Source organism: Homo sapiens, chromosome 9 (genome assembly GCF_000001405.40).
Source record: "Homo sapiens chromosome 9, GRCh38.p14 Primary Assembly".
Taxonomy (NCBI): Eukaryota; Metazoa; Chordata; class Mammalia; order Primates; family Hominidae; genus Homo; species Homo sapiens.
In genome coordinates, this window is record NC_000009.12 from 72,477,406 (window position 1) to 72,487,771 (window position 10,366).

Below are 10,366 nucleotides of genomic sequence, written 5' to 3' on the forward strand. Positions count from 1 at the left end.
TTAACTTTCACTCATCAATGTACTGTTTTGTTATTTGACAATAAATGGGTTTTATTATAATTTCTAGAAACTCACTGAAGGTAGGCACAAAAAGGACATAGATTTTTAAATTAGGTTTCCATTCATTTATACAAAATCCATGGCCTGGATTGAGAACACAGCCTTTGCTTTCTTTCCTATTCTTACTTCTGGGAGGGAAGTTTCTGACTGTGAATATTGTCCTCAGAGGACTCTCATTTATTAATACAAAGGCATGTGTATATGTAAAAGTGTATGTAAACCAGCAGGCTTGGCTTGGCTTTCATGGAGCAAAACTAAGAGGTCTGGCAATTGTCCTGGTAATCACCTTGATAAAAACAGCAGATCTATTTCTGTTCCATGATGGATATTCTGGCTTTAAATTAGTTCAATTATTATGGTGCCTGAATTAATTAACCAGGTAATTCTGCAACTGGGAAAAGTCTCCTTCGAGATGGAGTGGGTATCTCCTGCTTATGCCTCTATTGCTATGTAGCTTTTAAGTGGATTAATTTTAGAAAGTTCAGCTCACAAAGTTCCTTTTCCCTTACTGACAGCCCTGTAAACTTGACTTTAGATCTGTAACGGATGTCACTACTTCAAAGAACTGTAATCCTGTGTTTGATACACTCCTCCTGCCCCCAGGACATTATCTGTGCGAGAGAAGGGAAGCCAGGAACCCAGAAATGGTCTGCAGGGAGGTGAACTGGAATGGCAATACATGGTACACGGAAGAGCTTTGCCTCTGACGATGACCCTCAGCTTTCCTGCTGCTCTCTTCCTAGGTTTTGTTTCTAAGTATCTGGGCTTTGAAGAATGGGGGTGGAGGGATTCAAAGAAGACTTTTAGGAGGAGCCAGTCCCACTAGCAGATATTGTTGCTCTAACTCTGCCTAAGGAGCAATTTCTGGCCCTGAGTCATGATCCCAAACAGGAAGTGCTTCTGAGTTCCTCCAAACAAGGTATGTGGATGAGGGGGTGGAGTTTAGTACACAAATACCTAGCTGCCAGCCTTTCATGTTTACCAGGGATCAAGAATAGGTCATTTAAGGTCAAAGATATATCCTTTCTTGTCACTCCAAAGAATAAATAGTGTTGTCTTACACTCTAGGTGAAATGCTGACTTGAACTCCAGAGATATATTTGCTTTGGAGTTTTTCTTTCTTTTTTTTTTTTGAGACTGAGTCTCGCTCTGTCGCCCAGGGTGGAGTGCAGTGGCGCGATCTCAGCTCACTGCAAGCTCTGCCTCCAGGGTTCACACCTTTCTCCTGCCTCAGCCTCCCGAGTAGCTGGGATTACAGGCACCCGCCACCACGTCCGGCTAATTTTTTTTTGTATTATTAGTAGAGACGGGGTTTTACTGTGTTAGCCAGGATGGTCTCGATCTCCTGACCTTGTGATCCACCAAACCTCGGCCGCCCAAAGTGCTGTGATTACAGGCGTGAGCCACCGCACCCAGCCGGAGGAGTTTTTCTTTAATGCTACCCAAACGCACTCTATAACTGTTATGGGCTTCAAAGAATTACATGAATAAAGTGGCTTAAATTTAACTTGTGTTCATGTTTGATCAGTTTTCTAGAGGAAAGTTTAAAGCCAAAACACTGGGGAATTGTGGGGGCAGGAGAGGGTAAAACAACTTGTTTCTTTCTGAGGTGCAACTAATATTTGAGTATAAATTGGTGTTTGAGTAGAATTGTAGAAAAACAAAATACAGGGTTGAAAGATGTTTAAGAGGTCCTGTCCAACTCTCTTCCTGAGGATGCATGAATCACCAGCCCACTCCGATTCATTCTCTCTGAAATGCTTCATCTTTTTTTTTTTTGTTTTTCAGGTTTTTGCTACTTCAGGAAACCATAGTTGTTGGCTGATTTAGAAAAATTACAGCAGCATTATACAATAAGAGCTATTTCTGCCCTCTTGTCACTAAAGTATAACAATATTGCGTCCGGAATTGGTGGGTTCTTGGTCTCACTGACTTCAAGAATGAAGCCGCGGACCCTTGCGGTGAGTGTTACAGTTCTTAAAAGCGGCACGTCCGGAGTTTGTTCCTTCTGATGTTCGGATGTGTTCGGAGTTTCTTCCTTCTGGTGGGGTTCGTGGTCTCGCTGGCTCAGGAGTGAAGCTGTGGACTTTCGCCCTGAGTGTTACAGCTCTTAAGGCGGCGCGTCTGGAGTTGTTCGTTCCTCCCGGTGGGTTCATGGTCTCGCTGGCTTCAGGAGTGAAGCTGCAGACCTTCCTGGTGAGTGTTACAGCTCATAAAGGCAGTGTGGATCCAACGAGTGAGCAGCAGCAAGATTTATTGCAAAGAGCAAAAGAACAAAGCTTCCACCTTGTGGAAGGGGACCCGAGTGGGTTGCCACGTTGGCTGGGCGGCCTGCTTTTATTCTTTTATCTGCCCCCACCCACACCCTGCTGATTGGTCCATTTTACAGAGAGCCAAGTGGTCTGTTTTGACAGGGTGCTGATTGGTGCGTTTACAATCCCTGAGCTAGACACAAAGGTTCTCCACGTCCCAGCTAGATTAGCTAGATGCAGAGTGTCCACACAAAGGTTCTCCAAGTCCCCACCAGAGTAGCTAGATACAGAGTGTCGATTGGTGCATTCACAAACCCTGAGCTAGACACAGGGTGCTGATTGGTGTGTTTACAAACCTTGAGCTAGATACAGAGTGCCGACTGGTGTATTTACAATCCCTTAGCTAGACATAAAGTTTCTCCAAGTGCCCACCAGAGTCAGGAGCCCAGCTGGTTTCACCCAGTGGATCCCGCACCAGGGCTGCAGGTGGAGCTGCCTGCCAGTCCCGCGCCCTGCGCCCGCACTCCTCAGCCCTTGGGTGGTCGATGGGACTGGGCGCCGTGGAGCAGGGGGCGGCACTCATCAGGGAGGCTCAGGCTGCACAGGAGCCCATGGAGTAGGGGGCGGGGAAGGCTCAGGCATGGCGGGCTGCAGGTCCCGAGCCCTGCCCCTCGGGGAGGCAGCTAAGGCCCGGGGAGAAGTTGAGCACAGCAGCTGCTGGCCCAGGTGCTAAGCCCCTCACTGCCCGGGGCCAGCGGGGCCGGCTGGCCACTCCCAGTGTGGGGCCTGCCGAGCCCACGCCCACCCGGAACTCGCGCTGGCCCGCAAGTTCCACGCACAGCCCCAGTTCCCGCCCGCGCCTTTCCCTCCACACCTCCCGGCAAGCTGAGGGAGCCGGCTCCGGCCTTGGCCAGCCCAGAAAGGGGCTCCCACAGTGCAGTGGTGGGCTGAAGGGCTCTTCCAGCGTGGCAGAGTGGGCACTGAGGCCAAAGAGGCGCCAAGAGCGAGGGAGGGCTGCGAGGGCTGCCAGCACGCTGTCACTTCGTAGTATCTAGTATGTAATAGACCTTACACTGTAAGAAAACTCTGTTCTTAGCTGAGTAAGGAAATTCCGAAAACAAGGCCTCTACCTGTGATTTTTGAACTGGGAACCGTCAGGTCAGTTTCCTGCATATCTAGGAATACAAATAATGTTGCCTTGGGGAATAGACTTGGAAACACAGGAAAACACTTTCTGTACATTATCATTTCCATTAATTTGAGCAAGTGTTGATCAGAATAAATTATTTATGTGAGCACTGGGAGCTGCCTCCCTATGCGCAAGGCAATCTGTTAAAGATTTGCTATCATGCTAGTGAATGGGGGGAATGGAGTAGTACATTTTATGAGTCATAAATGGAGCATTAGTCCTCATGTTTGCATTTGGAAGTGAACTCTTGGTGAAATGTACTGTAAAACAAAACAGAGCATGGAAAACCAGATTCACTAATGGCATAAATCAAAATAATGGAAAAAAGAAACCTCTGGTAATATGCCAAATATGATAATCACACTGCAGATTAGCCATGATCATTAAGGCAGAGAGGGATTTGAACTGTGGAAGGATCGGCTGACCCATGTTTTCATTTGATTTCTAACAGAATGTGTCTCTTTGCCATAGCTTTTCAGAGAGGGCATGTGAACGTCAGTAGAGAAGAGCATGAACAGAGTTCATGTGGTTTTCCTACATTTATTAGAGTCATTGCATTTTGCTATAGTGTCTACAGGCAAGGTATAGCTTCCAGGGATAACCAGGTAGTTCCCCTACAGCAAATAAGTGACAGTAAGAACAATTAGAACAATTTTTAGTCTAACTGTTTCACAGACATTATTGTATTTAACGCATGCAGTAAACCTGTGAGGCAGGTGCACTATCATTAACCCCATTCTACATTTGGAGAAACTGAGGCACAGTAAAGGTAAGTGCCGCGCTCAAGGTCACACAGCTAGCAAGTAGAAGAGTCAAGAATCAAACCCAGGCAATAAAGTTCTAGGCATTATACTCTAAATCATTGAGCTAAACAATTTTGAAAGATTTTGTTTTGCATTTTACAAAGTTATCTAAAATTCACCTGCATTGGATTTCTTAGGGGTGCTTCTTAAAATGAAATTTCGCAGCCCAGTACATCAGATAACACAGTCTCTGGAAGCTGGGCATAGTTGGAAGATTAACAGCTCTCTTGTATAGCAAAGTTTGAGAATCTCTGTTCTAGTGAGTGTGGGAGGGAGATAGAAATTCTTTTTGGTTTTCTGGGCCCAAAAGATGCCTTGCAAAACTCTCTGAATTTTATATGTAAGTTTATGTCATCTGCAAATAGAGATAGTTTTACTTTCTTTCCAATCTGAATGCTTTTTATTTCTTTTTCTTGCCTAACTGCCCTGGCTCGACCATCCAGTACCTTGTAGAAATGATGAGAGTGAACAACCTTGTCTTGTTACCGGCTCTCCAGATTTTGAAGGGAAAACTTAAATGGGTTTTTCTTAATATATTGAGAATTCACTGTTGAAGATCATAGCTTGGTGTCTGCCATTCCTAACCTGGATTCCATCAGAAGATGCCTACACACCAGAAATACCAAATATCCTTCTAATTCATTCACAGACAGGAAGTATGGTCTTCCCAAAAGGACACCTGGCAGGAAAGCCAGGCATACATAGATTCTTATAGAGCACTAATGAATGTGAATGAAAGTCATCAGCTCTTGCCCTCCAAATTCAGCGTAAGGACTAGGTATGTAAATGATCTCTCCCAGTGAAGATTTGTTGAAGTTAAATAATGAACATTTTCAAATTATACATGTATAAGTCCCATAGAATTGGTGCTAAGCCAGCATGTCTGGGGGCTATGCATTTTTAAAAGTCCTGGGCATTATAATCCACTCCCTAGTTGATATAGATTGTATATCTGTCCCTATCTGAATCTCAAATCGAAATGTAATCGCCAGCGTTGGAGGTGGGGCCTGGTGGGAGGTATTTGGGTCATAGGGGCAGATTTCTTGTGAATGGTTTAGCAACATCCCGTTGGTATTGTCGTCATGATAGTGAGTGAATTCTCCCAAGATCTGCTTGTTTAAAAGTGTGTGGCACCTTGTTCTCTCCCTCCCTTGCTCCTGCCTTCGCCATGCGATGTGTCTTGCTCCCTCTTTGACTTCCACCATGATTGGAAGCTTCCTGAGGCCTTCCCAGAAGCAGATGTCACTATGCCTCCTGTACAGCCTGCCAAACCATGAGTCAATTAAACCTCTTTTGTTATAAATTGCCTAGTCTTAGGTATTTCTCTATAGCAATGCAAGAACGGCCTAACACACTAGTGAAGAAACACTGCAGTGTAGAAGCCAAGCTTTAGAGAAAATCTGATGTTTCCTGAATCCTGTCAAGGTCCCCACAAACAGTACTCTCATACGGATGAAGAAATAAAAGGCCATGGCTGCCTAAATTCCCCCCAAATTAAATGGTGTAAATCAACCGTCAGTAATTGTTCACAGATCCTGTGGGTCAGGATTTCAAACAAAGTTTGGAGTGGGTCTGCACCATGACATCTGGAACGTCAGTTGGAAAACTTGAAGCCTGGGGCTGGGATTATCTGAAGGCTCATTGCTTCATAGCTAGTGATTGATGCTGGTTGTTGGCTGAGACCTTAGCTAGGGCTGTTGGTCAGAACACCTATATGTGGCCTCTCCATGGGTTTTGAGCTTCCTCACATCATGGTGTCTGGGTTCCAAAGGCAAGAATCCCAACAATGCAGAAGCAATATCATCTTGTCTGACCTAGCCTTAAAAGTCATACAGCATAACTTTTGTTGTATTTTGCTTGTAAGAAGCAAGTCACTAATGTGGGCCATACTCAAAGCAGGAGAATTAGACTGCATCGTTTATGGGAAAAATATCAAAGAATTTTTAGACATACTTTAAAATCATCACAGGTGCTGTGCAAAGAAAACAATATAATAAAACATCTAACATTTATGGGGTACTTATGGGTCAGATACTCTCCTAAACACTTTATGTAAATAATCCCAGTCCTCCCTTACTCTATACGACAGGTGATATGATAATCTATGTTATAGATAAGGAATGTTCAGTTGTATAACTTGCTATCTCAGAGCATAATCTAAAGCATAACTTGCTAGAAGTAATGGTCATATGATTAAAACCCAGTCATTTGTGCTTCAGAAATATTTTCTTACTCACTACTGTATGCTATACTAGAACTGAGGAGATGTGGGATCTAGTCCAAAGTACTAATCTGGGGAGAAATCTATTATGCTTAACGTGGTTTCCATGCTCAAAGCCCCATTCTGAGGAAAGATGACATTCAACTTTATCTGTCTGTCCTATTCTGTTTGACCAGGGATAGACACCTCCCTGAATAAAGCCATCATCTGTAATAACGCTGAGATCTGGAGGAAGAGCTCTGTAGCACTACTGCAGAGTTGCTACATGAACCCATCAGATCCTCCCTCCAGGAACTCGAATGTAAATCCATTCAAGAGAAGTCAACCCTTGGAAGATGGACAGAAGGGAAAAGACACACAGAAAATAAGCCAGAAAGCATCCACAGGAAGCAGAAGCTCTGGCAAGCAGGAATTAAGAAACAGAGAAAAGGAAAGTGGAAACATATGAATGCATGTAAACAATAGCAGTAAAAGCAAGGCAGAAAGTAGTTAGTGCCCATAACAGCAAAGGACTGAAGCAGGCAGACAGATACCTACATTTAAGGAGTATCTGCCAGAGCAAAAGAAGTAGATTGGGTATAAATTCACCTTATGTGCCTGCAGTGTTTAGTGCTTGGTGAGGTTTGGTCATGTTACCGCTGACATCTGCTACCCCTGTGTGTCCTTAAAATCAATCCTTATTATCTGATGTAACCATGAACTTCTCTTTCATTCCTTATGGCTTAAAATACCTTACCCACCAACTGTGCTATTAATGACTTGTGTGGCCCGAGATAGGTCACTTCCCTTGTCTACCTCGGTTTTCTTGGTGACAAGATGAGGGTTTGACCAGGTGATATCTAAGTTCACTTCCAGCTCCAATGCATATTATTTTGAACTTTAGCATGAAAGGGTTTGGTCACAGTTCTATTGCAAAATCCTGGAAATATCACCACCTTCTTTATTTCCAGCCCCTTCTCCAGCCACAGAGCGCTTTAAACTTGAGACTCGCCTCATAAGGAATCTAAATGCAGTGCCACTGTGCAAATTAGCTGTGCAGCATCCCAGGGGCACCCCAAGCAGGCTTGCCCAGCCTCATGCAATGCTTTCTGTTGAGCTATCAGGAGAGTGTATGCTCTGGCCCCATCTCTCCATTCTCAAGATACTTTTTCAACCCCTACTAGAAAGAGATGAAAACAAACTATGGGAAGTTGCAAACATGTTGATGGGAATTGAGGTAAAATGCAGAAAGGTTGCTGGGTCTGGTGTGGTTGGAGGTGACTATACCACTGTCCGAAGGAAATCTGGAAGGGATGATTTTACAGGTTTTACTTAAAATTTCATTTCTGGCCGGGCGCGGTGGCTCGCGCCTGTAATCTTAGCATTTTGGGAGACCAAAGTAGGCAGATCACTTGAGGTCAGGAGTTCGAGACCAGCCTGGCCAACATAGTGAAAACCCGTCTCTACTAAAAATACAAACATTAACCAGGACTGGTGGTGCGTGCCTGTGGTCCTAGCTACTCGGAAGGCTGAGGCAGGAGAATCGCTTGAACCTGGGAGGCAGAGGTTATAGTGAGCTGAGATTGTGCTACTGCACTCCAGCCTGGGCAACAGAGTAATAATAATAATAATAATAAATTTCCTCCCAAGAAGGATTTATAACAGAATAATCCAGCATTTGCGTTTGTAAGACATGGGCCCACAGGACTCTTGTGTTAACCTCTGCCCTCTCACACACTTTCATCTGCTCCATCCCTGCATGAGTTTGGGTTTAAAGGAAACCTAGGCAGAGCTCCAGGCAGAACATTTGGAGACCTGGAAATGGTCTTGCCTGTGAGACCAGCTTATTGTGTGACTGTAGGCAAAAACTTCTTGGGGTTCTCAGTTTTTCCACTTGTATTAAAGATGATATTGTCTATTTCTTCTTATGTCAATGGAATTCTATGCCAGTTAATGAGACACTGGGCTCTATTGTCCCCAGTTTCTCAGTCAATCCCTTGCACTAAGCCAAATGTTCAGAGAGAGATGTAGGTTAACTCTTTCAGGCCTTCAGGGAATTGCTTTATGTATCACGAGTGCATTGAACTAAATAGCATTCTTGCATGGTATGCTTAGTGCAGTACCGGAATGCACTGAATGGTATGAATAGTACTCTAGAGGCTTGAAAGAGTTAATGGGCCTGCCTCTGGGAGTGCTGACTGAATGCCAAGACATGACATAAGATACAAGAAAGAGAGGCTAAAAAATCTTTACATGGGGGAAAAATTTAGTGATCCATTAGTAACCACTGAACTGTACTTTCTTCTCACCCTGCCCCTTTCCCAATCTCTCTCTCTCTCTCTGTCTCAAACACACACACACACACACACACACACACAAACACCTTGATATCATGTTACTGACCAGACTGGGAAAACTAAACTGAGCTGAGGGCTGAAAATGTGCCTTGAGTTCTTGGAAAAGGAAATAAATACACATTACCCTGGACTGCCCCTTTGTATTCATTGGATGGGGGATTTTTTTTCCCCTCCTATTCACAGAAGCACCATTACTAACCTGAGAGTTATGGTTGGTTTATTTCAAACCTGGGAGCCAATGAATAAATACCCCTCTGTGAGTCTACTAAGAAACTTCGAGTAACATGTAGTAAAACACTGCTGATTGCTCATTAGCCAGAATATAATGTCAAAATTTCTAAGCTTGAAATTCAAGGAACTTCCCTGCCTGATTTTGACCTACATTTTCTACCACTAGAATGGAAGCTTCTTAGGAGCAATGACTGCTCACATTGTTCATTATGGCATTATGTGTCTGTCTTTTTGACCCTGAAGATTTGTGAGCCCAAGGGCAGTCTGATGTCCTGGTGTATTTGGGAACTTTTCTGTTAATATGCCAGAACAGCTGCAGCCTCTTTCTCTATGTCTCTTCGTTTTTTTTTTTTTTTCTGTGTCCTCATTCTTTGTGCTCACTCTTCTCTTACCTCCACCCCCTTAAATTGGCTGAATGAAGATTGTTTGGGTTTTTTTTTGGCTCATGTTCATGGAATTCACTGATCTTACCATGTTCCCCATCATCCTGAAGCAGCTGGATTGATAGAATGGTGGAATGGCTTTTTGAAGTCACCATTACAATGCCAACTAGGTGACAATACTTTGCAGAGTGGGGGCAAAGTTATCCAGAAGGCCATGTATGCTCTGAATTAGTGTCCAATATATGGTACTGTTTCTCCCATAGCCAGGATTCACAGGTCCAGGAATCAGGGGATGGAAGTGGAGGTGGCACCACTCAACATCACCCCTAGTTATCCACCAGCAAAATTTTTGCTACCTGTTCCCATGACATTATGTTCTGCTGGCCTAGAGGTCTTAGTTCCAGAGGAAAGAACGCTGCCACCAGGAGACACAACAACGATTCCATTAAACCAGAAGTTAAGATTGCCACCTGGACACTTTGGGCTCCTCCTACCTTTAAGTCAACAGGCTAAGAAGGGAGTTACAGTGTTGGCTGGGGTGATTGACCCTTACTACCAAGATGAAATCAGTCTACTACTCCACAACAGAGGTAAAGAAGAGTACACATGGAATACAAAAGATCCATTATGGCATCTCTTAGTATTGCTATGCCTTGTGATTAATGTCAATGAGACACTACAACAGTCCAATCCAGGCAGGACTACAAATGACCTAGACCCCTCAGGAATGAAGGTTCGGGTCACTCCACCAGGAAAAAAGCCACTACCTGCTGAGGTGCTTGCTGAAGGCAAAGGGAATACAGGATGGGTAGTAGAAGAAGGTAGGCATCAATACTAGCTATGACCATGTGACCAGCTGCAGAAACGAGGACGGTAATTGTCATGAGTATT

General features: G+C 44.2%; 1 long non-coding RNA gene across 1 annotated transcript; it reads left to right on the top strand.

Annotated features, from left to right (window-relative positions):
• On the top strand, window positions 663–9,904 carry LOC105376080 (uncharacterized). Its single transcript, XR_929925.3, has 3 exons — window positions 663–979; window positions 1,849–2,021; window positions 6,702–9,904. It is a non-coding gene; the product is annotated as an uncharacterized LOC105376080 (long non-coding RNA).
• Window positions 9,905–10,366: the final 462 nt, after the last annotated feature.